General features: G+C 42.4%; 1 protein-coding gene, 1 long non-coding RNA gene and 1 other non-coding gene across 13 annotated transcripts in view, besides 32 other annotated features; 1 reads left to right on the top strand and 2 right to left on the bottom strand.

Annotated features, from left to right (window-relative positions):
- Positions 1 to 27,284, bottom strand: part of MIR4713HG (MIR4713 host gene) — a 256,425-nt gene that overhangs the window by 43,676 nt on the left and 185,465 nt on the right. The gene's annotated exons all lie outside the window — the stretch shown is intronic.
- The window catches only part of CYP19A1 (cytochrome P450 family 19 subfamily A member 1), a 130,540-nt gene that overhangs the window by 88,360 nt on the left and 14,896 nt on the right, over positions 1 to 27,284 (top strand). For 8 of the 11 annotated variants that reach the window (NM_000103.4, NM_031226.3, NM_001347248.1 and 5 more), the window contains 3 exons: positions 7,287 to 7,469; positions 13,228 to 13,378; positions 22,304 to 22,458. In NM_000103.4, coding sequence (NP_000094.2) covers positions 7,325 to 7,469; positions 13,228 to 13,378; positions 22,304 to 22,458 — 451 coding nt within the window. In that variant the 5' untranslated portion in view covers positions 7,287 to 7,324. Of the gene's footprint in view, positions 1 to 6,321; positions 6,489 to 6,991; positions 7,186 to 7,207; positions 7,470 to 13,227; positions 13,379 to 22,303; positions 22,459 to 27,284 lie in introns of those variants that run through there. The other 3 variants (NM_001347254.2, NM_001347255.2, NM_001347256.2) reach the window with 3 other exon arrangements.
- Positions 6,187 to 6,343: a promoter, noted in NCBI's record as "promoter I.6; contains SNP (rs1045959) which affects activity". NCBI's record gives the evidence for it as "EXISTENCE:reporter gene assay evidence [ECO:0000049][PMID:21319151]".
- Positions 6,187 to 7,369: a biological region, named in NCBI's record as "CYP19A1 promoter II/1.3". NCBI's record gives its function as "regulatory_interactions: CYP19A1".
- Positions 6,273 to 6,279: a transcriptional cis regulatory region, noted in NCBI's record as "-935 AP-1 site". NCBI's record gives its function as "mediates induction by leptin" and the evidence as "EXISTENCE:site-directed mutagenesis evidence [ECO:0005528][PMID:12734209]".
- Positions 6,332 to 7,309: a promoter, noted in NCBI's record as "B promoter fragment; -867+103". NCBI's record gives the evidence for it as "EXISTENCE:reporter gene assay evidence [ECO:0000049][PMID:16322405]".
- Positions 6,700 to 6,726: a protein binding site, noted in NCBI's record as "AP-1(-498/-492)". NCBI's record gives its function as "mediates activation of promoter by prostaglandin" and the evidence as "EXISTENCE:protein binding evidence [ECO:0000024][PMID:21393445]".
- Positions 6,857 to 6,876: a protein binding site, noted in NCBI's record as "site 2; includes -350/-337 element in PMID:18182446". NCBI's record gives its function as "mediates induction by cyclic AMP" and the evidence as "EXISTENCE:protein binding evidence [ECO:0000024][PMID:18519709]".
- Positions 6,886 to 6,905: a protein binding site, noted in NCBI's record as "p450arom PII(-322/-303)". NCBI's record gives its function as "mediates induction by cyclic AMP" and the evidence as "EXISTENCE:protein binding evidence [ECO:0000024][PMID:11280806]".
- Positions 6,906 to 6,932: a protein binding site, noted in NCBI's record as "CREaro". NCBI's record gives its function as "negative regulation of promoter activity" and the evidence as "EXISTENCE:protein binding evidence [ECO:0000024][PMID:11245431]".
- Positions 6,906 to 6,932: a protein binding site, noted in NCBI's record as "CREaro". NCBI's record gives its function as "mediates induction by cyclic AMP" and the evidence as "EXISTENCE:protein binding evidence [ECO:0000024][PMID:10545204]".
- Positions 6,922 to 6,942: a protein binding site, noted in NCBI's record as "C1 site". NCBI's record gives its function as "positive regulation of promoter activity" and the evidence as "EXISTENCE:protein binding evidence [ECO:0000024][PMID:19022561]".
- Positions 6,930 to 7,191: a promoter, noted in NCBI's record as "-278 pII promoter". NCBI's record gives its function as "cyclic AMP responsive promoter; drives expression in ovary" and the evidence as "EXISTENCE:reporter gene assay evidence [ECO:0000049][PMID:7768959]" and "EXISTENCE:transgenic organism evidence [ECO:0001131][PMID:10830289]".
- Positions 6,938 to 6,959: a transcriptional cis regulatory region, noted in NCBI's record as "distal NRHS (nuclear receptor half site)". NCBI's record gives its function as "important for induction of promoter by cyclic AMP" and the evidence as "EXISTENCE:site-directed mutagenesis evidence [ECO:0005528][PMID:14580722]".
- Positions 6,950 to 7,111: a silencer, noted in NCBI's record as "162 nt silencer fragment". NCBI's record gives the evidence for it as "EXISTENCE:reporter gene assay evidence [ECO:0000049][PMID:1331779]".
- Positions 6,954 to 6,984: a protein binding site, noted in NCBI's record as "-245 to -231". NCBI's record gives its function as "mediates induction of promoter by cyclic AMP" and the evidence as "EXISTENCE:protein binding evidence [ECO:0000024][PMID:18182446]".
- Positions 6,957 to 6,986: a promoter, noted in NCBI's record as "exon 1.3 promoter; B1 sequence". NCBI's record gives the evidence for it as "EXISTENCE:reporter gene assay evidence [ECO:0000049][PMID:8662988]".
- Positions 6,988 to 7,013: a protein binding site, noted in NCBI's record as "CRE(-211/-199)". NCBI's record gives its function as "mediates induction of promoter by prostaglandin; modulated by binding of Jun and Jund" and the evidence as "EXISTENCE:protein binding evidence [ECO:0000024][PMID:21393445]".
- Positions 6,988 to 7,013: a protein binding site, noted in NCBI's record as "CLS (CRE-like sequence)". NCBI's record gives its function as "negative regulation of promoter activity" and the evidence as "EXISTENCE:protein binding evidence [ECO:0000024][PMID:15688015]".
- Positions 6,991 to 7,010: a protein binding site, noted in NCBI's record as "CLS (CRE-like sequence)". NCBI's record gives the evidence for it as "EXISTENCE:protein binding evidence [ECO:0000024][PMID:9426158]".
- Positions 6,994 to 7,016: a protein binding site, noted in NCBI's record as "p450arom pII(-214/-192); CRE2 or CLS". NCBI's record gives the evidence for it as "EXISTENCE:protein binding evidence [ECO:0000024][PMID:11994385]".
- Positions 6,994 to 7,016: a protein binding site, noted in NCBI's record as "p450arom pII(-214/-192); CRE2 or CLS". NCBI's record gives the evidence for it as "EXISTENCE:protein binding evidence [ECO:0000024][PMID:11994385]".
- Positions 7,020 to 7,047: a silencer, noted in NCBI's record as "S2-1 element". NCBI's record gives the evidence for it as "EXISTENCE:reporter gene assay evidence [ECO:0000049][PMID:11016753]".
- Positions 7,069 to 7,089: a protein binding site, noted in NCBI's record as "nuclear receptor 1/2 site". NCBI's record gives its function as "negative regulation of promoter activity" and the evidence as "EXISTENCE:protein binding evidence [ECO:0000024][PMID:9973254]".
- Positions 7,069 to 7,089: a protein binding site, noted in NCBI's record as "nuclear receptor 1/2 site". NCBI's record gives its function as "positive regulation of promoter activity in breast adipose" and the evidence as "EXISTENCE:protein binding evidence [ECO:0000024][PMID:11927588]".
- Positions 7,074 to 7,089: a protein binding site, noted in NCBI's record as "hexameric element". NCBI's record gives its function as "positive regulation of promoter activity" and the evidence as "EXISTENCE:protein binding evidence [ECO:0000024][PMID:7768959, PMID:9865725, PMID:9973254]".
- Positions 7,074 to 7,105: a protein binding site, noted in NCBI's record as "S1 site". NCBI's record gives its function as "negatively regulates promoter activity" and the evidence as "EXISTENCE:protein binding evidence [ECO:0000024][PMID:11973645]".
- Positions 7,075 to 7,104: a silencer, noted in NCBI's record as "S1 element". NCBI's record gives the evidence for it as "EXISTENCE:reporter gene assay evidence [ECO:0000049][PMID:9606955]".
- Positions 7,077 to 7,088: a protein binding site, noted in NCBI's record as "5' half of S1 site; nuclease protected region". NCBI's record gives the evidence for it as "EXISTENCE:nuclease protection assay evidence [ECO:0001106][PMID:9865725]".
- Positions 7,112 to 7,148: a protein binding site, noted in NCBI's record as "FOXL2 conserved site". NCBI's record gives its function as "positive regulation of promoter activity" and the evidence as "EXISTENCE:protein binding evidence [ECO:0000024][PMID:21188138]".
- Positions 7,112 to 7,369: a promoter, noted in NCBI's record as "259 nt promoter". NCBI's record gives the evidence for it as "EXISTENCE:reporter gene assay evidence [ECO:0000049][PMID:1331779]".
- MIR4713 (microRNA 4713) lies at positions 7,973 to 8,047 on the bottom strand. The gene has a single exon (NR_039863.1). It is a non-coding gene; the product is annotated as a microRNA 4713 (primary transcript).
- Positions 21,471 to 21,765: an enhancer, noted in NCBI's record as "tiled region #12041; HepG2 Activating DNase unmatched - State 9:DNaseU, and K562 Activating DNase matched - State 5:Enh". NCBI's record gives its function as "activates a minimal TATA promoter and a strong SV40 promoter by Sharpr-MPRA in HepG2 and K562 cells {active_cell/tissue: HepG2 | K562}" and the evidence as "EXISTENCE:reporter gene assay evidence [ECO:0000049][PMID:27701403]".
- Positions 21,471 to 21,785: a biological region, named in NCBI's record as "Sharpr-MPRA regulatory regions 2939 and 12041".
- Positions 21,491 to 21,785: an enhancer, noted in NCBI's record as "tiled region #2939; HepG2 Activating DNase matched - State 8:EnhW, and K562 Activating DNase unmatched - State 5:Enh". NCBI's record gives its function as "activates a minimal TATA promoter and a strong SV40 promoter by Sharpr-MPRA in HepG2 and K562 cells {active_cell/tissue: HepG2 | K562}" and the evidence as "EXISTENCE:reporter gene assay evidence [ECO:0000049][PMID:27701403]".

Here is a 27,284-nt window from a genome sequence, read left to right as displayed (position 1 = left end):
TCTTCACACACATGTGAAATGTGGGTTTTAGCAGCAGGTACCTTTCATACACCATCAATAGTCTTCCCTATGTGGGTAAAACCCTAGGGGCTGAGGTCTCCCATTGGTGCCTTCAGGGCTTTTTGCTCATTCCACACAAATGGTCAGTCAGAGACCACAGCAGGGATGGGAACTATAGGGTGGACAAGGCATTTGCCCTGAAGGTAGTCCACACCATGTGTATCTAGCTGCATTTTTCCTGTTGGTTCCTATTGTCTTGCTCCTGCTCCAGAAGAAGAATGTCCCAGGGAATCACTGGAAGCTTGCTAGGAAGAATAACTGGAACCTCAAGTGTCATGACCCCAGTGCCAGGGGATGGAAATCATATCACAGAATGTGCACTTGGGTGAACCTTCCCTGCTTTTAAGTAACTATTGACAAGTGACCTTCCCTGGATCTCATGTAAGTGGTTCATTTTTAAAGGAAGAGAACTGTATTATTAGAAGATCACAGCATTTCTTTCCAGTCCTGATACTCTGTGTCTCCTTGATGTAGAAGTTCATGGGCAGCTCTACATGTCTTCCTAGAGAACTGTGATTCTCATAAGATGTCCTAGCTAGCAGCACCTTCAGTTTGCTTGTCTTACTGCCTCCCGCGTCTAGAAAGAAAACTGAATGTCTGAATGTAGTACCCTGCTCAGACAAGCTTCCTAATAAATGTTTATTTAATGAAACCCTCCAAGGCTCTGATTTATATAGTGCCTTGGCAGTCAAAAGCAGTAGTAGTCCAAGACCCATGTCGGAGAGAAAAAGAGGAGGAGTATTTATACCAGGTAAGAGATGGCTCAGGCAAGGAGAAGAAGAAGCAGGCTTGTCTTGGGAAACCAGTGGGGCAGAACTGGATGAGCAGGGAAACATGGAGGAGGAAGAACTCAGCAGGTAAGATGTTGTGGTAAAGCAGGAGTCAGACTTTGAGTGGAGAGAACCAAGAAATAAGGCTGGGTCAAGATGAATTTGGGGTCGGACATGGTGGCTCACACCTGTAATCCCAGCTCTTTGGGAGGCCATGGCAGGTGAATCACCTGAGGTCAGGAGTTCGAGACCAGCTTGGCCAACATGATGATAACTCTGTCTCTACTAAAAATACAAAAATTGGACGGGCGTGGTAGTGGGTGCCTGTAATCCCAGCTACTCGGGAGGCCGAGGCAGGAGAATCGTTTGAACCTGGGAGGCGGAGGTTGCAGTGAGTCAAGATCGCATCACTGCACTCCAGCACTCCAGCCTGGGTGACAGAGCAAGACTCTGTCTAAAAAAAAAAAAAAAAAGATGAATTTGAAAGTCTTGTAGACAACTGGAAGCAAAGAAAGGTTTTTAGCAGAGGATTGACGTGATGTAAGCTGAGTCAAAAAGCAAATCTGGCAGCAATGTGCAGAACAGAGTGAAAGAGAAGGTCTGAGAAGGAGGGTCTTGGAGAGTTTACAATGGGGAATAAAAGCCGGACAAAGCTGGAGACAGTGCAAACTCAGGCAACAGGTTTGTAACAAGCACGTATGAAGGCCTGGACACTGTTCTAGAAGCGGAATACAGTTCTGAAAGAGAGAGACACAGATCCCTGTCCTTTGGGAATTCACCTTCTAGAAGGAGAGGAAACAGAGGGAAGAATTTGACTTTTCATGAATTAATGCCTCATTTTACTCTGTAAGAGGTGTGAGGAAATTTACAAACATACATCCACTCAGAATAATAAAAATAAGTGATTTTACCTATTGTCTTTGACAACATCCTTTCATTAGATAAAATGGTGAGTTCCCTATGGCTGACATTACAAAGTCACTCAGAGGTAGCTTATGGCCTGGCACCAAAGCATGGCTAGACAAAGGTAGTTGCAAAAAGAACACAAGTGACTAGCTCCCAGTGTGTAGCTCCGTGAAGGTTGTGACAGTTGGTTCAGATACTAAGTAATGGCGGCAAATGGGCTGGAGTCTCCACTGGGCTCATGGAGAGATGGTTTGTTTGGCATCATGCCTGGTCCTTTGAGAGGAGGGCTGTGCTGCAGTCCATTCCCCACCCTCCACATTCATGTCACCTGTGTTGCCCTTGAAGACACTAGAGCTTGGGACTGCCAAGAGAGGATTGAGGGTCCACCAGGAATTCTCAGTAGATTTTTCACAACAGAGGCTTTTGAGAGCAATTAATCTTAGAGAGTTTGAGGTAGGGTAATTTTTGGCAAAGAAGGAAGCCAGGAATTTGCCTTCAACTGACCACTGAGATATGCTTTGATCTTGAATAGAGCAGAGGGTAGGGTTAAGGCCCATTATAAAAATTAACATATAAGCCAGAAGATTAAAAAAATACAGGGACGTATCTTGAGATACAGGGACACGACATTATTAGGGACTATGCCTAGAACTTTGTGACTGGATATGGTTAGGCTGGGATGGGAAGGGATATGGTAGGAAAGTAAAGGGAAAAGGGAAGTACAAAACACCAATATTTTGAAGCTGGATGATGGGGTAATGATGTATAAGAAGGTTAGGACTCGGATCACTTGAGGTCAGGAGTTCCAGACTAGCCTGACCAACATGGTGAAACCCTATCCTCCCTACTAAAAATACAAAAATTAACTGGGCATGGTGGTGCATACCTATAATCCTAGCTACTTGGGAACTGAGGCAAGAGAATCGCTGGAACCTGGGAGGAAGACGTTGCAGTGAGCTGAAATTGTGTCACCACTGCATGCCAGCCTGGGCAACAGAGCAAGACTCTGTCTCAATAAATAAATAAATAAATAAAAATAAAAATAAAAAAGTAAGGACAGGGGGAGAAGGTCAGGAGGAGGTTGACAGATTGGGTTTTAGACGTAACTATGGAGTAATGGTGAAATATCTGCATAGTGGAGTTCACTAGGCAGTCAGTGCTTCAGACATGGAGAAGACAGAGGCAAGAAGGGAATAGGGGGAGGTGCCTTCACAGAAGTAAGAGCTTAAGAGAGGAAAATAATGAGTTCTCAAAAGGAGAATAAAGCAGAGAGGGCAAACGCTTTAGGCTGGAGAGATGCTCATGATCTCTCATGGGCATGGGGGCTGACGGAGGAATAAGAACAGCTGTAGAGGAATAGAAACGATGAGAGAAGCCTGCCACAACCATCACTGGAGAACAGATACAAGAAGGAGGAATGGCCAAATGGGTCCAACGCCACAGAATGAGATCAAGAACAAACATAGACAGGGAAGAGGTACAGATCAGGCAGTAGTAAGGTCACGTGTCAGCTCTCAGAGACAGGTTTTGGTGCGATCAGGCAGAAGTCAGGAGATGAGGAAATGGATAGAGAAAAAAATGCATTTCTCCAGGAGCTGGGGTGTGAAAGAGGGATGGGCCAGGTTTGCTGGAGAGAATAAGAGGGAGTGCAAGCTTGGCACCCAGCCCTCACATCCAGGGTGGCTGGGTCTGTTTCCCTGCTGGGCCAGTAGCCCCCACGCTAAAAGGATTTAGCAGGGTCTGGTCATGCTAGGCAGAAGTTCCACAAGGCCAGGGCCTGCCTCCCCTCCCTGTGGCAGGCTAGGGTTAGGGCTATAGCTGTACTAGGGGATCTGGGAGTCCTTCGTGGCACTGTGGGACCCTGAATGTGTTCAGACCCCCAGGTCATCAGGACACCTGGGCTCTGCTGTGTCCCCAGAGGTTTTTGCCCTGACTCAGGCTGAGGACTTTGGGTGTAGGACTCGCGTTTTCTTACGCAGAGGTTGGTGGGGCGTTGAATGAAGTTGTTAGTAGGCTCCACGTAGCACAGGCACACAGGCCTAGTGCATCAAGTGGCCAGAGTCCCTGCTTGGTGCCAGGCCAACGTGGGATGCTGAGCAGGCAGAGACCACTCTGCAAATAACAATGGTGCGACCCAAGAAAATGACCCTGAGAGGGCAGTGGAGACCCAGGCATTTGAGACGGCCTGGCAAATGCATAGCACCTGAGGGCCATGTGCATGTACATGTGTGTTTGGGGGTGAGGGGAGGGTATTACTGGCCGAGGGGACATGTAAACAACCTCTGTGCAAGTTCTAGGACCTTCCTATATTCCTGTACCACTATTTGAAGGCTTCTGTTTAACCTACCCACGTGGCCCATTAGAATGTTCCACTGAACAGGAAAACCAATGTGCATTCAGGAGAGAATCTCAAAGGACCTTTCCAGCTGTGGCATTCAGAGGTCCATAAAGCTTAATCCTTTAAAAGGAATCATTCTAAATAGCCCAGGAGTGAACATAAATGAATGAAAAGTCCATGAATGTGGGGACTAAATCCCATAATAGGGAGCAAAATGGCATGATAAAGAGCATGGGCTCTGGAGACAGACCACCTAGGCCCCAATTCCAGCTCTGTCACATATGAGCTGGGTGCCCTAGGGCAAGCTGCTTAACTGCCCCAGGCCTCAGTTTCTCCATCTGTAAAATGGGGATAATTAGACTTAGCTCTCAGGCTTGTCGTGAAGATGAATGGCTTAATATTTCTAAAGTGCTTAGACCAATATCTGACACATAGCACATGTTTTCTAGGTGTTAAAAAATATTCTTTTTGATGGGGTTGTTTGTTTTTTTCTTGTAAATTTGAGTTCATTGTAGATTCTGGATATTAGCCCTTTGTCAGATGAGTAGGTTGCAAAAATTTTCTCCCATTTTGTAGGTTGCCTGTTCACTCTGATGGTAGTTTATTTTGCTGTGCAGAAGCTCTTTAGTTTAATTAGATCCCATTTGTCAATTTTGTCTTTTGTTGCCATTGCTTTTGGTGTTTTAGACATGAAGTCCTTGCCCATGCAGATGACGAGTTAGTGGGTGCAGCACACCAGCATGGCACATGTATACGTATGTAACTAACCTGCACAATGTGCACATGTACCCTAAAACTTAAAGTATAATAATAAAAATAAAATAAACTAAAATAAAATATATTCTTACCCTGCTGGATTTTTAAGTGATGCTCTTGTCGGGGATCTTTATGACATACTTTTGAGGAAGATGAGAAACGAGGCTTCTTAACTCTGTTAAACATTTTAGACACACAAACAGTCCTCACTTTTCATGGCAGTATGGGGCTGTAAAAATGACCATGCAAGCTAAAACCGTGCAAAGCAATCCTAAAAATCAAGAGAAAAATTAAAACTGTTCTGTGACCTTTAAAATTTGTTGTCAAAGCATTAGAAACTCTTACCATAGGTTATAAGTGTGTAGGGGAACAAACAAACAAAAATAGTAAAATATTTTAGGACACAGTAATTTGAAACATTAGAAACAATGCAACATTTTAAGTGTTTTCTTTCTTTGTGAAAATAAACTTACTAACAGGTTTTTTAAAAGTGCTTGCCTTCTTCTCTTTGCATAACTTACGATACTGAGGGAACATCTTTTCTATGCCAGTGAATTGCCATAGTCCTTTATAAATTTGCATCAGCTTGCAACATCTTATCTCTTTGCTTTCAGTGTTGTGAAATACCTCTGGAAGTTCCTATAATGTGAAGTTTTTTGCTGGGATCACTTCCTGTGGGACATCTTCATCCTTTTTGTTGCAACCACTTTCCTCATTTATGCTTTGAACAATGGTTTCAGGTTTCATCAATATAAATCGAAACTTCAAGGGTCCCAACTGTCAGAAAGTCACATAGAACTTACTCAGAATGATGTCAAATTCCACTCTAGAAATTTAAAACCTCACCCTGTTAAAAATAGCTTGTCATCAACAAAGGAACCAGATGATAACAGACACAAGGCTGACTTTTTAGTTTCGACTTATATATATTAAAAAAAAAACAACCACAAAACTGCTCAACATAAGCACAATGTGCTTTCAGGAGAGAATCTCAAAGGACCTTTCCAGTGCATTTTCAGTGCCCTGCACCCAAGCATTAATGATTATTTAAATGGTAGAATAACATAAAATGATGAAACAACTGGATAAATTCAACTATGTTGTAAAAATTTTGTAGTTGACAGAAATCAGTCTTTGGACTTTAAGATCTCATATAGATCAGAGGAGAAATATAATGACATACTCCTTAAGAATCTGATGAAAGTTATGGCCTTTCTCCACTAGAATGTGCCGATTACAATATTTTATGCAGTGTTTCAAGGAATACACAGAGCCCCCAATATCCAGTTAGAAGCCCTGGCTGTGAATCTAGAATTTTATTACAGGTGAAACCCAGCACAAGTCTGATTGAGAGCCATTGCAAGTCACAGAAACTCTAGGCCCTGTCTAAGTAAAGGCAAACCTTGGAGTATGTCATCTGCCACTGAAAATGCATTTAATGATGACTCACTCTTTCCTCACTATACAAGTTTGTTCAACCTACACCTCTTCAGCTACAGACTACCTACCATCCCTGAAACTCTGTTCTGAGAGTAAAGGGATTACAAAACCTGGCTGAAAAGACAGATTCAATGGCATGTTGAAAAACACAGCAGAACCAGCACATCAGACTGTAAATTGATTGTCTTGCACAGGATGTTAGCTGCTCTTCGAATGAGGTTCCTGAGTGGCACCTGAGCCTATTGCTGGTGGCATCCTATTCTGCCTGTTCTCTCTTTCTTCCTCCTTCCCCATTCCTTTCATTCTCTTCTCCCTTATTCTTCCTCTGCAATTCTTTTTTTCCACACTACCGTTGGCCGGTCCCTAGGGATACTGTTTAATCTGGCCCATGGTACAAGAGATTTTAGATCTTCATTGAAGTCACTAGAGATGGCCTGAGTGAGTCACTTTGAATTCAATAGACAAACTGATGGAAGGCTCTGAGAAGACCTCAACGATGCCCAAGAAATGTGTTCTTACTGTAGAAACTTACTATTTTGATCAAAAAAGTCATTTTGGTCAAAAAGGGGAGTTGGGAGATTGCCTTTTTGTTTTGAAATTGATTTGGCTTCAAGGGAAGAAGATTGCCTAAACAAAACCTGCTGATGAAGTCACAAAATGACTCCACCTCTGGAATGAGCTTTATTTTCTTATAATTTGGCAAGAAATTTGGCTTTCAATTGGGAATGCACGTCACTCTACCCACTCAAGGGCAAGATGATAAGGTTCTATCAGACCAAGCGTCTAAAGGAACCTGAGACTCTACCAAGGTCAGAAATGCTGCAATTCAAGCCAAAAGATCTTTCTTGGGCTTCCTTGTTTTGACTTGTAACCATAAATTAGTCTTGCCTAAATGTCTGATCACATTATAAAACAGTAAGTGAATCTGTACTGTACAGCACCCTCTGAAGCAACAGGAGCTATAGATGAACCTTTTAGGGGATTCTGTAATTTTTCTGTCCCTTTGATTTCCACAGGACTCTAAATTGCCCCCTCTGAGGTCAAGGAACACAAGATGGTTTTGGAAATGCTGAACCCGATACATTATAACATCACCAGCATCGTGCCTGAAGCCATGCCTGCTGCCACCATGCCAGTCCTGCTCCTCACTGGCCTTTTTCTCTTGGTGTGGAATTATGAGGGCACATCCTCAATACCAGGTAAGTCAGTCATTTATTTCTGTATCTAAGGAGATTATTTACTTGGGATTTTGGTCCATGATGGTAAAGAAAATTTTGCAAAAGGACAAAAAGCAAACCTGGAAAGATCTCTGAAGACTATGTCTGTGTTAGCAAATGAGGACTTGGGAGAAAATTTTCAGACCAATTATCTGCACATTTTAAATGAAAGCACTTAAAAAATATCTTAGATAAACCCTTCCACTCTGTGCTGTGCTTTCGTAAAGTAGACTTGGCACAAGTACCCTTTAAAACAAGCTCAAGATGGGGTGGAGTAAAGTAAAATTCCAGGGTTTTCTGGTTAACTTTTAAAAAATAGATTGCAATTTTGCTCTGAAGGTGAAAATGTCTCTGGAACATCTTCTTCACTGCTTTTCTTCTCCCTTTCACTTTGTTTCCGCCATGCCCCCTCTTTGTCTTGTATTTATCCCTTCTCTTTATTCCACTCATCATTTTCTCTTATTCTTGGGAATGTGGTGATAGTGGTCCCCATTTTTCTCCCACTGTCTGGATCCCATTCGACCCTTATGGGAGCCTGGTAGTGGGAGAAAAATGGGGACCACTCCAGTGCTCTTGGAACATCATACCCCGGGAGAATCTTCAACAAGATCTGTGGTTCAATCAAAAGCAGAGAATAATATAATTATTCAGATAATCCCAATAGAAAACCCCACCCTTCCACCCTTAAAGCCGCAATGATCAGATATCAGATTAATTCAGAATGACTTGAAATTTCAGACTGCTTCTTTAGGTTTCAGTGAAAATGCTTCATTGCAGACACATCTGTTCCCAATTCCATAAGATATCCAATGAGACTTTAAGAGCATAGTTACACACTGGTAAGTGTGGTGGGCCTAGTCTCAGTGGGATCAGAAGTGGGAGCATGGGGCTAGCACAAAATGCTCTGTGTCTGGATTCTTTTTAACATTCCAGATAATTGCCTGTCTCTCTGCCTGATTCAGCCTGATATTTTAGATTACTTTAATGCCCAGTTTAAAGGAACATTTAGTTAATTTTGTTCTCTGCTCCCTGACAGGGTCAACTCTAGAGAAGGGAGGCTCAGAGCTAAGGGACAACTGTTTCATGGTCTTTAACTTGAACTCTGTTCCCCAGTGTGGCCCTTCCTCACTGGATTTCTCCTCTCCCAAGGGGGCTTCTAGGTCAGGGTCAGTGAATGGTCGGGGTGGGGTGAGTAAGTGGTGGGGGTGGAGAGCCTTTTTTTCCTCTTCTTCCCTTCATAGGCTCAGGTGCTAAATTCCAATTTGTCTGTGTTAGCAGACAATCAGGCCAGGAGAGTCCAGCATTGCCCACGCAGCATTGCCCATCCAGTGAGCCACAGGTTCTCAAGCTTTTAAGTCTATGTAAGAACACCCAGCAGGTAGGAGCTTGTTAACATTTCTGTTCCTGGACCCTGCTCCTGACTTTTTGACTCAGACTCTTCAGGCCTAGAAACATGCATTTTTAAAAAGTCCCCGCAGATGCTTATGTTAATCAGCACTGGTGGAATTTCCTTGGACCCTTGACCAAGGAGGTCAGCCTGTTAGGACAAGCCTGAGAACCAGCAGCCCTGAAGCTCTGGATCAGTGGGAGAGTAGGCAGCACCTCACTCTGTCCACCATTTCTGGGCCAGGGCCATCATGCTGATCCACTGACAGTCAGATCAAGTAGCACAGTGATTCTCAGCACTGTCTGAGGTAGGAGCTCAGCTAGTTTGGGGTTGCTATTTTTAAAAAAATCTCCCTTCCTGATTTTTTATGAGCAGCCAAGGTTGAGAGCCACAAATATGAGCCTAACTCCTTCATTTGACAGAAGGGGAAACTGAGACCCAGGGAGTTGATCTGCCTTGCCCAGACAAAACACTATGACAAGCATGAGAAGCCATGGAGTTCAAACTTGTCGTTTTACAAGTGAATGGTTAAAGCCCAGTGAAGGGAAATGGCTTGTCATCTCCCCAGCTGGACAGAAAGTGGGAATGTAGGGGGACCACCAGGAAGTCCTAAAGCCCAGGTTGATGATCATTTTGCTAGACAGGTAGTTTCTAGTTTCACACTTTCCTTTTGAAAACAGAAGGTCTAGTTAGAATCCACTAGTAGCACAGACTGTGAGATCCTATGGTTTCTGGTTGGGGGAGGGAAGATAAGAAAATTGGCCTTGTTTGGGGTGGCTTTTGCTGATCAATACTCCTGAGCTCCTGCCAGCTCCCTTTAATCAGTGGCTCTCTAGGTTCTTGGTTTTAGAGGTTTAGGGGAAGCACAGAGTCAGGAAAGCTCAGGAACAGTGAAAGCTGGAGGGACTTATAATGATTTAAAGCCCTTAAGTGAGTTATAATTTACAAAGCAGTTTCGTGCCCATTTTCTCTGGTGAGGTTGGTGTGTTTGTGTCTGTTTTGTAGTTGGCAAAACTGAGACTCAAAGAGTCACACAACTAGTAATGATGAAACTGGGGCTCATATCTAAGCTTCTTCTAGCCGTATTTACTGCTAAGTAAACAGGCTGCCCTGTTTTCCTGCTTAGGGGCAGGAGGATGTGTGAAAAGATTAAAGAGATGTGGTTTCTGCCCCGAGGGGATTATATAAAAGTAGTAAAGACAGTCAAGGAAACACACATAGGTGGTTGACTTAGTGCCAGGTAGGGGCTATGAAAGTCCTGAGGAAAGGGTCATTCTGCGGAGAAGGGGGAGTGGCCGGGGGAGGGGGGCGGGGTTGGAAGCTTCAGTTCTGAAAAATTGCTCCCAGACCACTGATCTGGGTCAGGACTCACAGTCACCTGGCACTGGCTGCTCTCCCTTCCCCCAGGACGTATAGCCATCCCCAGCTCTAAACAAGGGTCCTCTCCCTCCAGATGCCATGCTCTGCCCGGGGTACCACATCCCAGAGCAGGGAACTAGGGGGGAGAAAAGCATGGCAACTGACATTCCTCTTTTTCTTAAGATAATATTTCACAGAAAACTGGACAGTGCGGTGACAAATTTGCCATCACAATGCAGCCTGACAAAGCGGATGTTACCCTTGTTCCAGAAGCTCCTCGTGTGCCTTTGTAATCACTCTCTCTCTCTCACTCCAGAGCAAAACACTGTCTTTGATTTTGTGACAGTCACTCCCTTGCTTTTTTTTTTTATCATTTTACCACATAATTTCACATCCCAGAGAATACAGGTTAATTTTGCCTTGTTTTAAAGGTTTTAGCAGTCAATTCATACATTATGTATTCTTCTATCTTGCTTCTTTTGCTCAATAGTATGTTTCTAAGATCCATCCACATCGTGGCATGCAGGTGTAGTTCATTTTCATTGCCATAGGGTATTGAGTTATATAAATATCTCATGGTTTAATTGCCAGTTCCACTGTTGAGGGACACTTGAGGTGTCTTTAGTTTGGGGCTATTGTGAACAGGGCTGTTCTGAATGTATATGTGCACACAGGTTTCTCTATGGTGTACATCTGTAAGGCGTGGAAAGCAACAGCTTGTTGATTAGGACAGCTGGGGAGAGGTCCCAGCTGTTGGCTCCAAGGAGGCTGTCTCTGTACAAAAATGCAGCAAAGTATTCACTGCTTCTTTTAGGGTGTGAAAGAGGCTCCCACCATCATTGCATGCCTAGATAAGCATTCCCAAATCTGAGAAGCAACGATCAGCTTAATGTGGCTACAACCAGAATATTTCCCTAATATTTTGCCAAAGTTTCTACCTTCCTCCAGCATTCTTCTCTCCAGCTGGAGGGTGGGTAGAAGGCCTAAGATATACACGTAAATGAAAAGGTCACACTGTGTTAACATTCTTTTATTTAGTAATTATTTTTCACATACTCTCCTCTCTTGCCCCTAGACTCTGATGGGGACCATTATACTTATAACATCTCCAGTCCCTAATTTTAGTGTCTATACCAGTAGTATCTATACCAGTAATTGTTTGTTGGATGAATTAAGCTGATATACAATTGATCGCTAGGGACTCAAAACTCTGGTTCTCTTCTGGTTAGAACACTCAGGTTCTTAATCTAAGCACAAGGTTCAATCTCCCTTTTTCAGTAGATATATCTCTCCTGCGTCACAGCTTACATTTGAATGGCAGGTCCCAAATATTAAGATTTTTACATGGCGGGCTGGGTGTGGTGGCACAAGCCTGTAATCCCAGCTACTCGGGAGGCTGAGGCAAAAGAATCGCTTGAACCCGGGAGGTGGAGGCTGCAGTGAGCCGAGATCATGTCCCTGCACTACAGCCTGGGCAACAGAGCGAGACTCTGTCTCAAAAAAAAGGATGGCATTTAAAACTTCATCCTTTATATTAGATACACATGCCTAATTAATTTTTAAAATTTATTCAGGAAACATTCGTTGAGCATCTACAATGTGCCAAGCTATAAATATCCAGTGAGATATTATATTATGCATATATTAATTGATTAAAAGTTAATATATCTAATGACAGTTTAAGGAAATACATATTCAATCAAATCTGCTGTGGAAATCTTTTAAAGAGCTTAATGAAATTATTTTAATACAAAGTCAGTCATCTACTGTATAATGTAGTGTTACTAAAATAATCACAAGATTAATAACCTTAGACCATATTTTGGTTCTGTAGGTATTAGCAAAGATCTTTTATTTAAAGGGAAAAAAGAGCTGACAGTCTTGCTCATATTAACTCAGCTATTACAAAGTAAAAGACTAAACACTGTTTGCTGTGTTTGGGATTAAACATCCAATTCAGATGATTCAAGCAAAAGCTTACACTATGTATATTATTACACAACTTTTGCCCGTAAGGTGAGAATGCTGTTTCACGTAGTTAGGCATGTTTTGGCTTCAGAATGATTTCACTGACAGAATGGAATTAAAGGAGAAAGATTTAGAAAAACTGCTACTTGTCAACTCCTGAAAACATTCTAAAACTTTTTAATCTAACGTTTTACCAACACCAGTAAAATCAAGCTACCAAGGTTGTTCTCTGATATAAGCAGCACCAAATTCCCCAGTTGTTCCCTGGACGCATGTTCTTTACAATTCTGCCATCCTCTGCATAAGCAAGATTGTAAGCAGCCACTACTCTCGGCTAAAACCAGATCATGGGACTCAAACTCCAATCTAGAGGTTCAAAGACCCATTGCCTGACTCCCCATCTCTTAGCTTTATTTTGCCTAATGAGATTTAGCTTAAGAGCCTTTTCTTAAACGGAGTCTTTTTTGAGGGTAACAAAAGAAATAGATGTTCTTGGATTGGACATTCTCCTTGTAGATCTTGTTTCTTTCAGTTGAAAGATTTCCTACAAAACTACAGACCAGTTTTAACCCACCCATTGTGTCAACCGGGGCACTCAAACCAAAAGTTTCCAGAAAAAACTAGGCGCCAAACAGATCTGCCAGATTGTCACTCATCAGTGTTTCCATGTTTGCTACCAAATGCACCAATTGACTTGTATTAGAAACTCACTGATACCAGTTAACCTGGGAAGAAATTAGCACACACACCCCAGTTCATTCAGACTGAAATGATTGAGACCAAATAAAACTAGTGTGGTATGGATACTGAACTCCTTTTTACTCATGGAGAAGTGAAGAGCCTCATGTTAAGCGTGAGGCTTTTGTTTTGTTTTGTTTTGTTTCAAATCACTTTATTCGTGATTCACAGATATACATCACATGTAAAGAACACTTAGCTATAAAAGAACAAAAACAGGAGTAACACAAAACAGTTGCAATTTTTGGTGTAACTAAGATGTTGCTTATGCTCTGACACCTGTCCTAGGTCCTGGCTACTGCATGGGAATTGGACCCCTCATCTCCCACGGCAGATTCCTGTGGATGGGGATCGGCAGTGCCTGCAACTACTACAACCGGGTATATGGAGAATTCATGCGAGTCTGGATCTCTGGAGAGGAAACACTCATTATCAGCAAGTGAGTCTGTTCATAATCGAAGACATACTTTTTAAATCGAGGCTGGAGTTTTTTCCACTTAAGACAACTTTATTTTGAATCTTGATGTCTTTGTTTCTAACGCTATATTTTTACCACTGAAATGAAGTGAGCAATCCCCAGAAATCTAACATTGCAAACAGAATAATTGGGTTTTGCTTGAATTGAAGCCAGCAGTACATAAATAACTAACTCTGGAAAGTTGGGAAATTATTTACAATCTCTGTGAGCAGTGAATGTGGAAACTTAGAAGCCAGATAATTTGATTTTGACAAAACATACTTTAGGGAGAGGTGTTATCTTTTCTGCTTTCCCAAGTTTTTTGGTCTTAACCACAAATAAACATTAAAAAGAACCAAGCCAAACAAACAAAGAAAAAACCCACAGAAAACAAAAATAAAACCCGAGACATCACTGCACTATAGTCTGGGTGACAGAGTAAGACCCTGTCTTTTAAAAAATAAAACAAACCTGAGGCAGAGGTATCTGATTAGCAATTTGCTAATTTATTCTCCTGCCAAGCAACTGAGCACCTCTAAAAGAGCAGATGGTAAGCCGACCTTGGCTGAATCCGATTAAAGTAAAGAAAAAGGAAAATAAAAGAACAAGACAGTAGAAAAAGAAGTAATTCACATGCTGCTTTCCCATTTATGACTTTATGCGAGTATCCCGGTGGAGTGATCTTACATAAATCAGGAACAATATTACCCATTTAAAAAAATAGTGTCCTCCCTCTCTGCATTATTATATTTTGTGGATAACTAGCAGATTGAATTAGCTCTATGGTTAACTAAATAGGAATTGACTATAAGGAACTAGTTTGGTGAAATACTTGTTTTCTTGTTTATTGATCTTAGAAAATGGAGAATTTCAAAGATGGCGTATTTCCCTAGACTTTCAGCCAGCTTTAGTAGACTTTTAGCAAAGCTATCTGCAAACATTGTCTCATTAACGCATGTTTATATTCGTAATCCCTGATAGCGCTTTACCCACAAACTAAAGCTGACCAGGGTGTTTTACCAATTTGTTAGAATTATTCATTCAGATACAAAGACTATAGCTCAAAAGTAAGTGAAGCTTTTCTAAACTACATAATTTTTTCAGGTCAAGATTACATACATCATCTCATAAAATACCACGGTATCCTCAAAGCCCAAATATTTGAAGCAGATATTGAAAGAAGGGAGCAGGGGAGAAATTGGTATTATTTTAATACTTCTAAATATTTCAAACTATCCAAAAAGAATTTTTTTGACCTGGGATTTTTGTTTGTTTGTTTCATTCAGTTTTGTGTTGTAGCACTTTTAAGAGTAGCTGAGGCAGACCTCACACAACTAAACAGAAATGGCTTCAGGTGGAAACATCATTTCATTGGGTTCATTGTGAAGTACTCTAATGCAGTAGTTTTCAAAGTGTGGTCCTTCAACAAGCAGCATCAACAAGCCTGGGAACTTGTTAGCAATGCACGTTCTTGGGCCCCACCCTGACCTACTAAATGAGACAGTCTGGGGTAGGACCCGCGATCCGTGTTTTAACAAAGCCTGCAGGTGATTCTGCTGCACACTTGAGTTTGAGAACCACTGCTCTAAGAACTAGATCATAATTACTTTTTTATTTTAATTCTCCTGGTCTATTAGGCTCTAGTCAGCCAAATTTAAGTGACTATGATACGTTCTTGATACGTTCTCATTTTAAAAATCAGTACTTGAGTCACTTTTACAACTGGCTATGGTCTCACAAATATCCTGGAAGCACTGGTGTTTGGGTTTGGGGGTAGGGACATTTGCCGCTGCTCTTTCATTTCCCCGCACAGCCACCTGCCTTTCAGCTCTCCCCAGCCCAGGGTCTGCCTTCCCCATCACCTCTTTCCCTCAGCAGACAGGTGAAGTGACCCCCAGGATATTTATCTAGAAGGATATCTACCTGCTGCCCAGGATCTAGCACAGTGCCGTGCCTCTCACCCTAGCTGTACCTTAGAGTCACCCAGGGAGCTTTTCAAAGCCCCACTGCCCAGGCCACACCCCCACTTTTAGATCAGAACCTCTGGGGGTAGGACTCAGGCATCAGTGGTGTTTAATACTCCCCTGGGAGTTTGAGAACATTCCATCTAGAGAGAGGGTGGAGGAGGAAGCTCATGGGGCAGGAGGGCCTCTCCCCGGGGTTACAGGAAGCAGCGATGCAGGACTGGTTTTGTCTTATGCTAAGGTGGTGGAGGTTTAAGACTAGAACTGGAGTAAAGAATGATAGACTTGAGAAAGGACCACAGTACCAGGACAGAAATCATTCTGAGATACTAGATATTTCGATGCTAGATTCTTAAATCTCCAGAAAAAGTCCGTGAATTTCCAAAGACAATTCCTGAAGTGCTTGCTCGTTACAGTGGGGGTGGCATCTGACCACTCCGCTAGTCTTAATTAGGAAACTGACTCCAACAACCCCGACCGACTCAGGCGCTGGTGCACGCTGAGACGCAGCCACAACCCACCCACACTACCATCAGCTCTCCCAGTTCTTTCCTTTTCCTGTCCTCTCAGGCTTTTCACTTGTTGGAGTCTTTGTGTTCTCTTTAATTGCCTCAGAGCAGTTCAATTTTGTTGTTAAAGGCTGAGCTCCCCGCGGGAATAGGACATGTTTGTCCCCATCTCCTTTCCTTGCCTGCTCTTCAAGTCCCTTCCAGCACTCCCCGTACCTCTTGAAAAGACCCCATTGGACCTCAGAAAGATTTTTATTTTTATTTGAATAGTTTGCCAGATTTTTTTTTTCTTTTGAAAAGTTTGAGGTCTGTAGTCATTACAACTGTGTAGAAATTATGGTCCAACTTTTCCAACCAGCTTCGTCCCAAAGTAGTAGGGGCTGCAGAACTTCAGGGGAGAAGTCAGGCATGTGCGCTGCTGAGATGCCGCGTGTGCCACTGGGGGCGTGGAGGCACGGTCCATCTGGTGAGCTGTAGATGATGTGTGCACCGTTCCCCAGGCAGCTACCCAGGCAGCTGTACTCTAAATTAATGAAGGTCTGTAGGTGCTGCGTATGACACTATATGTCCATTATATGTCCCTAGATTAGTTTTTGTCATGAATACAAAAAAAATTTATGTATCACTCATAAAGGGAAATTAGCAATTAGCATGCTAATTTGGGTTATATTTGCATATCTGTTAGCAATTAACATACTAATTAGGGTTATATTTTTACATCTGTCTTAATAATGTGCAAATTTACACATCATTTACAGGGGCTTCCTTCATTTATTCTGTGAATATACATTTACTGAGAATTTATTATATACTAAGCACTGAATGATTCTAAGTTGTAATAGTCATTATTGGCTCTTCATCCATTAAATATTTCTTGAAAACTTACTATGTATAGCAGCAGGTATTGTTCTAAACTCTGGGAATACAGCAGTGGACAAACCAGCCAAAATTCCTTTACCTCATGGAGCAATATGTCGTCACTAGGTCAACAATAAACAAGTAAAATATATAGTGTATCAGTAGAGTGACCAATTGTTTCAGTTTGCCTGGGACCAGGGCCTTTCCCAGGATGTGGGACTTTCAGTGCTGAAACTGGCATAGTCCCGGGCAAACCAGGATAGTTGGTCACACTTATCAGGCAGATAGGTGTTACATAGAAAAAGAATAGGGAAGGAGGATGGGGGAGGACCAGTTGTAGAGACGCAGGTGTGATTGTAAACAGGTGGTTCAGGCAGCCCTCACTGAGAAGACAGCATTTAAATAAAGACCTAAAGGAAATGAGCAAGTAGCCCATGCAGAGACCTGGCGGGAAAGCATTCTAGACAGAAGGAACAGCAAGTGCCAATATTCTAAGGCAAGAACCTGAGTGGAAGAATACAGGAGATGAGAGAAGCAATAGGGTACCAAATCACGTCAGGCCTTGCAGGCCATTGTAACAATTCCGGCTTTTACCCCCTGCAAGAAAGGAAGCCACTGAAGAATTTGAGAGAGGACTGACACATATGACTCATTTATGTTTCAGCAGAATCATTCTGGCTGCTCTGTTGAGAATAGGTGCAAGAGGACAAGGGATGGGGACAGACAGACCAGTTAGGCAAGAGGTGATGGTGGCTGGTCCAGGTGGTAGCAGTAGAGATGATAAGAGATGAGGGAAAATTCTGGACATATTTTGAAGGCAAAGCCAACAGACTTGCTGACAGATTGGATGTAGGGTGTGAGAGAAAAAAAAAGAGTCAAAGTGCTGTCCAGTTTTGCATTGAATGGGGACATCGTGTCCTGAGATAGGTGGAGCAAGTTTGGGAAGGGGAGAGATTAGGGTTCCATTCCAGACATGTTAGATTTGACATGCCCAGTTGACATCTGAGTGGGATGATTGAGTAGAGAGAACTGAACCTTGAGACCCTCTAGTGTAAATAGGTCAGAAACTAGCAACAGAGACTGAGAAGAGCAGCTAGACCGAGAAGAGAAAACCAGGAAAGTGTAATGTCTGAAAACCAGGTGAAAAATCCATATCAGGGAGTAGAAAATTGTGAACCATGTCAAATACCACTGATGGGGCAAGGGAATGCATGGAGATTTCAGTACTGCATTTAGCAACAGGGAGGTCACAGGTGACCTTGACAAGAGCAGTTTCAATGGACTAGTGGGGGCAAAAGTCTGACCAGAGAAGAGAATCGGGGGAGAAGAATCAGAGGCAGCAAGTGTAGACAAGTCTTCCAAGGAGTTTGCCATAAAGAAGGCAGGAAATGGGCCAGTAGATGAGTGAGATGTGTGGGCAAAGGAATTTTGATTTTTAAAATAGGAGAAATTACAGCATGTGAGTTGTAGGGGGACTGGTCAGTTATGGAGGAAAATCAAATGATTGTTGATGGAAGAGAAAGAGTGTGCTAGGTGAGATGTGAAGAGGTCCCTGGGGACAAGTGGATGGGTTGGCCTTGAATAGGGACATGGAATTTCCATAGTAATAGGAGGGAAGGTGGAATATATGGGCACAGGTCCGGGTCGTTGGGGATTGTGGAGATTCTCTTGTAGTTGCTTCCACTTTCTTGGGAAAATTGGAAATAAAGTCTTCAGCTGGGGCTGAGTAGGGAGAATATAATAGTCATCTAGAAGAGTGAGAGAGTGAATGGGCTGGGGACATGCAGTAGCATTGCCAGCGACACTAAGGGCCCACTTGAATTTAACCGAGACCTGACAGCAGGCACGTGTGCGCTAACGTACACACATGCGCACACATGTGTGCGCATGTGTGGTTTTTCTTTTTTTCCCAGCCCACTTCAACTGCCAGGTGCAAGCACAGAATAAGCTAAGAGTTGGATTTAGCTAGAGTGTGGTCTTATCAGACAACCATGACAAAGTAAGAAGAGGGTCAAGGGAGTTGAGGATTCAGGGAAGGGTATTTTAATTTTAATGATTGACAGTAATTTTTTCCCAACTTTCTGTTAAGAAAATTGTCAAATGAGTAGGAAAATTGAAAGAGCCGTCCCCCTGCCACACTTTTCCCCCTGTGACATTGACATTTTGAAGAGACCAGGTCAGCTATAACATATCCCACATTCTGAATTTCTCTCACTGTTTCATCAGGGTGTCATTTACTATATTCATCTATTCTCTGTATTTCTTATAAACTGAAAATTGGGTCTAAAGGCTCAATTAGATTAAGGTTGCACATTTTTGCAATAACACTTCAGTAGTACTAGGAACTTCATATCACATCACATCAGAAGATGAGTAACAGGTTGTCCCACTAGCACTGATGTTAAATTTGATCACTGGTTAGGTGGTTACAGTGAGATTCCTCTGTTATAAAGATTGTTTATCTCTTGTAGTCACCTAGAATTTAAGCTGGGTAAGTGAGGATATTAGAGAAGTGAAGGACAGTGAAAAGGTGATAGGATTGATGGAACAGATCTACATGAGGCAAGTGTTTTTAAATGTTTGTTACCAGCCGGGTGCAGTGGCTCACACCTGTAATGCCAGCACTTTGGGAGGTGAAAGTGGGTGTATTACTTGAAGTCAAGAGTTTGAGACCAGCCTGGCCAACATGGTGAAACCCTGTCTCTACTAAAAATGCACAAAAAATTAGCCGGGTGTGGTGGCGGGTGCCTGTAATCCCAGCTACTCAGGGGGCTGTGGCACGAGAATTGCTTGAACCTGGGAGGTGGAGTTTGCAATTAGCTGAGATTGCGCCACTGCACTCCAGCCTGGGCGATAGAGTGAGACTCTGTCTCAAAAAAAAAAAAAAAAAAAGAAGGCACCAATTAGTCCATTAATTGCCTCCTCATCACTGTTGAATCTGCCCACAAGTGTGTGAATTGTTTAATCCCAGAACTCAGGTGGCTTTCTTCTCATCACCTAAGAGCTTACTCCCTGACTACTTTTCATTTTGAACAGACAATAGGTTTGCCATCTTTGGAGATGTCTTTTATCTTCAATCATGCTTAATGAGGGATAATAACCCTAGTGATCAGACACCCAACGCTGTGCACTGTCCCTGCTGAGGCTGGGGACTCAGCTGGACTCTCCTCAGTGCTAAGAAATCCTCACTCTCCCAAATAATCAGTATAACACTTGCCTCTGGCAGTATTGCAGGCTGGCCCACAAGCCAGAGCCAGGCCTGTCTTGACTGCCAGGAGGAGCTCTGGGCTGGGGTCCTTAGTTCATCACTGACCTTCTCTTCACTTTTCTGATTTACTCTGGTTAGATAAATCCAGCCTACTTTTAGTAAGTGACCTTGTTTTAAATTGCTCATCTGTGGCCAGTCACACATCCCTTGCTTTATCACATCGGCCTGATTAGCTTTGTCCCTAACAAGCCTGAGCTTTGGATTCAAAATAGCTGAGAAGTTGGTGCCCCCTAAAGGACACAAGAATTTTAAAGGTTGGCTCTTTATTACTAATAACTAGCAAATATTTCGTTGGGTTTGTTTTATGTTTGGAGTTTCTTACTCTCTTTTTAAAACTGATTAGCAAGTTCTTAAATGAAATGGACAGGCCAATATGATTAATGCAGTATGCAAAAGCCCCAGGGTCAGAGCAGAAAAATAGTGTTTGTCCTTTAAGTGCTTAAAATTTTTAAATATTAGTTTGTGAATAAAGAATATATAAATTACTTAATTTCTGCTTTAATTATAGAATGATGGAGGGGAAGGTAAGTAAAGCTAGAGTTTTCAAATATTTTAATTAGTAAGAATTTCATTCCTTCCTATAGCATAATTTTTCTATATATGACAAAATTTGAAACGTCAGACAAATTCCCCAGAATACAAATGGAAGCATCTGGATTTTTATTTATTTATTTATTTATTTTTGCTAGGGAGAGGCAAACATGTCCAAAACTTAGGATTATTTGATGAATATTATCTGGAATCAGATCAAGAGAATATTTAATAGTGTTTTTATTTGAAAATAGGTGGTTTTTCCTGAAATAAATATTAATAAGTTATTTATACAATAACTCTGCTTTTTTTTTTTTTTTTGAGATAGGATCTTGCTCTGTCACCTAGGTTGGAGTGCAATGGCTTGATCATGGCTCACTGCAGCCTCAACCTCCAGGGCTCGAGCTATCCTACTGCCTCAGCCCACCAAGTAGTTGGGACTACAGGCACACACTACCACACCTTATATATTATATATTATTATACAATAATAATCCTGTTCTAATTTCTTGACACTACCATTATTTCAGGGGCTTACTTTTAAAGCTTAAATAGGACTATGGAACACATCGCAGATGTGAGAGCTGGATTAATACTTAGCCCACAACCTAATACATTGAACCAGAGCAGCGCTTTTTTGGTCTAGAGTCCTCTGGGAATGTATTTCAACAGGCATTAACTGAACAACCTCATTAAGGCAAAAGTATCCTTTTAGGAGCCAAGTGTCAACTAGGAGATGGAGGAGCAAGTCTCTCCAACCTGAGAACCAATTGCAGATATTATAGTAACCACTTGCAATCTTTGAGGGTTATTTGTTCTGAAAACCTCCATAGTGGGAGAATTTGCAGCTGTGAAACAAAATTTCAGGAGACCAGAGGAGAGGGAGGACCAAAGTTGCAATTAATACATGAAATTTTGTATAAATATTAAGTTCACCAAGAAAGTAACAACAACATCTAAAATCAAGATAATACCAATGACATCTAATGCATCTTGAATTTGCATAATTGAGCATCATGCAAATTGCCCTGTCTCATGACTCATCACATCCTGTGTCGTGGGAGAACTCTGTGACCCTGGAGACTTTGATGAGTCATGATGGAAGGCAGAGCCCCAAAATAGCTTCCTTTACTACCACAGTGAACTTTGCATGCCAGTCCAGCCAGGCGCTGGCCAAGCTCAGGGCTAGAAGAAGTGCCCAAGGAGATATTTTTCAAGCCCTGACTGATACTCCACTGGAGGGGGCAGGCCTGATTAGAGACTGGAGTTGGGTGGTACTAGGCAAAACTGCTGGTTCCAAAATAGGAAAACAAGACTTTAGTAATTCCACAAACTTCTGATTCTGTGGCTCACTCTTGTAGTGGGTGGCACTTTGTGGAGTGAGGCTGGATGATACCTGGGAGGCTGGAGGTTCTTCTGGCTCTGGTGGTATGGAGGGTTCAGCTTCTTAGCAGCCTTGCAGCTCTGACTCCAGTAGTGGGTAGTATTTTGGTGAGGTTAGAGAAGAAAGAGAAGTAAGGAATGGTATATGGGTGTGTGTGTGTGTTTTCTATCTTTGGTGATGTTGAAACAGGGAGTCAGTAGGTAGAAATGATTCAACTGGAGAAGGATGTCCTCATGCTAACAGAAGTGCTTATTCAACCCGAATACTAGAAATCATGCACATTGCATTTGGAGCAACATGCATTTGCTAAGAGAGCTACCTCCTAGTCAAAATGTACCACCAGGAGTTCTCCTGACCCTTAAAAATTGACACCAAAGTTTCCTGTCTTTTCAGGTCCTCAAGTATGTTCCACATAATGAAGCACAATCATTACAGCTCTCGATTCGGCAGCAAACTTGGGCTGCAGTGCATCGGTATGCATGAGAAAGGCATCATATTTAACAACAATCCAGAGCTCTGGAAAACAACTCGACCCTTCTTTATGAAAGGTAAGCAGGTACTTAGTTAGCTACAATCTTTTTTGTCTATGAATGTGCCTTTTTTGAAATCATATTTTTAAAATATTTTATTTATTTATTTATTTATTTATTTATTGAGACAGGCTCTGACTCTATCACCCAGGCAGGAGTGACCTTGGCTCACGACCTTGGCTCACTGTAACCTCCGCCTCCCAGGCTCAGGCGATTCTCCCACCTCAGCCTCGCGAGTAGCTGGGACTACAGATGTGCACCACCATGCCTGGCTAATTTTTGTATTTTTTGTAGCGATGGGGTTTCGCCATATTTGAGACCAGGCTGGGCTCAAACTCACGGAGTCAAACGATTGACCTGCCTCGGCCTCCCAAAGTGCTGGGATTACAGGCATGAGCTATCATTCCTAGTCTGAAATCATATTTTGAATTCTACTGCAATAAAGGAGGAAGAGCTAACATTCATTATGCCTTTACTCTGTTGTAGCCATTGTTCTAAACACTTGAATGGCAGCCCCATGTGGTAAATGTTGTTATCTCCTACAATTCACAGAAAATGAGGTTAAGTAACTTGCCCAAGGTCCAAACATTAGTAAATGATAGCCCGGAATATAGCCCTGAAGCCTATATTTCTTAATCACCACAAATTCTTTTCTTCTTATTGATGTGCAAAGCAATTTTATAGGCAAAAGAAGAGATGTAGCTATATATTTAGAGTAATTTCAGTTAAGAATTTAGCATGTCACCCATATGTTTGATTTAAACACGGCCAAACAATGTGTTTGCTGAGTGCTTGACTGACAGCCCAGATGATTTAGCAGGAAGCAATTTGTGAATGAAATTAGATAATTTTAGAACTGAGAGGGACCATATCTGTCATCTAGCCTCTGATTTTAACAGTTGAGGAAATAAAGTTCCAACGAAGTTATGATTTTCACCCAGGCAAAATAGGGAGTAATGAATGAGCTGAGACCCAGTTGCAAGCTTCCTTATCCAGTGGTTTTCCCCCTTAACCTCATCATGCTGGAAATGAAACTGTTGGGGAATACACACGACTAACCCTTGACATTACTATCAAGCATAAAGAAAGATAATCATACCCTGGAAACCTTGTCAGTGGTGGAATCTGGGGCTAGATGATTTTAGGTCTGGCCCTGTCTATTCACAGCCTTCCCTCCAGCAGCCCGTGCTGTGAACCTAGGTAGCCGCCTTCCATGTGCCTGCTGAGATGGGGGGAGCTATGCCAGTACCTCTGCCCACTGGGTGTTGAGCCCAGCCTTCAGAGCTGCCCTCCCTCACCAGGACTCAGCACAACTCTTGCTGTAGACCCCAGTGTATCACTTTCCTATTGCTGCTGTAACAAATTGCCACAAACTAAGTGGCTTAAAAGAACACATTTATCTCACAGTTCTGTAGGTCAGAAGTCTGACATGGATCTCAATGAGCTGAAAACCAAGGCATAGGCAAGGCTATGTGCCTTTCTGGGGGCTCTAGGAGAGACTCTCTTTCTTTGTCTTTTCCAGCTCTAGAGGCCAGCCACATTCCTTGGCTTGTGGCCCTTTCTTCCAACTTCAAAGCCATCAACAGTGGGTTGAGTCCTTTGCACATTACATCTCTCTGACCCACCTTCTGTCATCCCATCTCTCTCTGGCTTTGACCTCGGCTTGGAAAGGTTCTTTGCTTTTTTTTTTTTTTTTTTTTTTTTTTCTGAGACAGAGTCTTGCTCTGTCACCCAGGCTGGAGTGCAGTGGCCCCATCTTGGCTCACTGCAAGCTCCACCTCCCAGGTTCACACCATTCTCCTGTCTCAGCCTCCTGAGTAGCTGGGACTACAGGTGCCCACCACCACGCCCAGCTAATTTTTTGTATTTTCAGTAGAGACGGGGTTTCACCGTGTTAGCCAGGATGGTCTCGATCTCCTGACCTCATGATTTGCCCACCTCAGCCTCCCAAAGTGCTGGGATCACAGACGTCAGCCTATAATCTTTGCCTTTAAGAACTCATGATTAGGTTTGGCCCACCCCATCTCAAGGTCCTTAACCTTAGTCATATCTGCTAAGTCCCCCTTTTCATGTAAAGTAACATGTTAGTAGGTTCTGGGGATTATGACCCAGACAAATTTAGGATGCTATTATTCTGCCTATCACTCATGTTGGGGGAGATAAATCTCCTTATACCTTATAAAACTATGGAATGAATTAATGGAAAACGTATAGGACTTAGTATTACAGGTTGTGGGTTTGCGTCCCAGCACTGCCACTTGCTACCTATCTGACCTTAGGCAAGTCACTTCGCCTTTCTGAGCTTCAGTTCCCCTATCCACAAAAGGTGATAAATGTTATGAAACTTGCACTCTAGGGCTGTTGTGAAGAACAAATGAAATAATGCTATAAGATCCCGTAGAAATGTACATTTGACTTTTTCATTTGGCTCAGGTGTATTAGGAATATGTGAACTAGTATTTAGTAGTAGTTAACTTTCACATACCAATATCCTCTACCCTGACATGCAAGAGCTAATTAAAAGAATCTCTAAGTTCATCCATTTGTTTAACACCCCACCGTTCTCATCTTTGAACTAGGTACCAAGATACAATGACAAACAAGATGTGGTTCCTGCCCTCCAGGAACTTATAATGGGGGAGAGAGGTTTGAATTAGGAAGGGGCAGCCCAGCACATCACCAAATACTACCCTAGGTGATGGTAATGCTGGCGGTGTGCCCAGAGTGATGCCAAGTACAGATGAACAGGCCATCTAAAGCACATTGAGGGGCAGGGGAGACTTTTCAGAGGAATGGATGCTTATAATGAGTTTTAAATGAAGGTAGAAGCTAATTAAGAAAACAAAAGACAAATATTCTAGGAGTAAAGAATAGGATAACCAAAGGCACAGACAAATAGATAGACATGATGCATCCAGGGCCCTGTCGGTAAGTCCTTGTGCCTGGTGCAGATACATTCAGGGACGTGGCCAAGGGGAGGGCAGGGCCAGATCACCAAAGACCTCTCAGTTAAGGCAAGGAATTGAGCTTATCTCAAAAACTATGGAGAATCACTAAAGATTTTAAGCAGAATAACATAAACATATTTGTATTTTATAAAAATCCCTCTGGTAGCAGAGAGAATGACTAATTGGAAGGAAGCAGGATTGTGAGCAGTGAGAACATTTAGGAGCTACTGCAGTGATGCAGGAAGGGTGGAGGGGAGGCTGTGGTTTCAAGAAATGTCAAAAGGGTAGACCCTACAGTAGTAGAGCCTATAGTACTTGGAAATTAAGCAAAACATCTTTGTGATTTTTTTTTAGACAGCCTTCTATAGGCAAGATCAGGGTTTCTACAAAAAGTGCTACATAACTGGACCCAAATTCATAATCTCAGGAAATAGGGGGATAATTGCTTATTGGAAAGTTCACTGTGGTGTCTGACATTTCTATAATCAATGAGGGTCCTAAGCATTTTTCAGTGAATCTCCTTTTGGAGTTAGACTCCCTGTTGGTTTTCCTGATATAGTGGAAAGTTTGGCACAAGTTTTAGTATCTAAATCAGTAACATTAATGAAAGTATTGACTTACTGGGTGAGTCTGTAGAGAAATAGTTAAGTGCAACTTAGGCAATGACCCATCTTGGGAGGTAGGGAAGGGTGGTGGCGAGGGGTGAAGAAATAGCATGTGTTTCCCAAAACTGCCGAGAAATGTGTCCATATTGATGGTATTTGCTGATTGTTGCCCAATTTTCTTTTCACTAGATAGAGTCAATACTTTTTAGCATATTTTAAAAATTAAATCATATCTACATCATACCACTGCCTATAAGCCATGTTATTACATTTTTGCCCATAAATTTGGCATGTGGCTTCAAGCTCTTTAAACACAGAGGCAAATCATGCATCGGCCTGGGAGAAAACCACAAGTGACATTCTAAGCCAACCCTTCCACACAAAGGGTTGAGTCATTTGTCCTGCTTGCTGAAGTGGCAGTCACCCAGAGAACAACATCCTGGCCTTTCATATCTGCCAAGTCCTTCCTATGGTCAGAAAGCCTGCTCCTTCCTCAACCTTCCTTCCAAGATGTATGGAAATCTCAAAAGTCTAGGACCAGTCCTCAGGCCTCCTTTCTTATTTGCAAAGTATACCTTTAGGCATGGGGATTCCGCAGCTTAACCCAGTGTGTGTGTGTGTGTGTGTGTGTGTGTGTGTGTGTGTGTGTGAGAGAGAGAGAGAGAGAGAGAGCAAGAGAGAGAGAGAGAGGATAGTCTTCTTCTGGAGTTACGTCTACAAAGTTTCCCAATATTTTTCATCTCATTTCAAAGACTCTGATGTTAACAGCAAACCTGAATAATAAAAGACTTAAAAAGAGATTACTCCTAAAAGATGCTTAAAGAAACGTAACACAAAGAGAGAAAGGGGCACTTTAAGGGTTAAACCCTCCTGTGTAGGCCACCTACCATCAGGACCCACCAGCCACTGCTCAGATATGAACAGGGCAAGAGTAAGATCAAAGCCAGTTTACTCTATTTTCATTCATTCATTCATTCATTCATTCCTCTATTGAAAAAATATGTATGAAGGCCCCCATGGACCATCAGCTTGAAGTGCAATGCTAATGAGTGGCTGTCACTGTCCTTAAAGAGCTCTCAGTTCAGTGAGGGAAGACTGGTAAGCAAGCAAGGAATTGCTTAGCTGTCATGCCATTGGCTGAGTAAAATAAACCTGGAAGTAGTTTGAAGAGAAATCAAAATTAAGAGAAGGGCACTTTGGGGGATTTTTACAACTAGCCTTTTACACTTAAACAGGAAGCACCTTAGATCAAATAGGATCCAATTTGACCAGTTTTCCAATAATATCCTGC

Source organism: Homo sapiens, chromosome 15 (genome assembly GCF_000001405.40).
Source record: "Homo sapiens chromosome 15, GRCh38.p14 Primary Assembly".
NCBI lineage: Eukaryota > Metazoa > Chordata > Mammalia > Primates > Hominidae > Homo > Homo sapiens.
The sequence above is the reverse complement of the archived record's forward strand: the minus strand, read 5'-3'. Positions and strand labels throughout refer to the sequence as shown.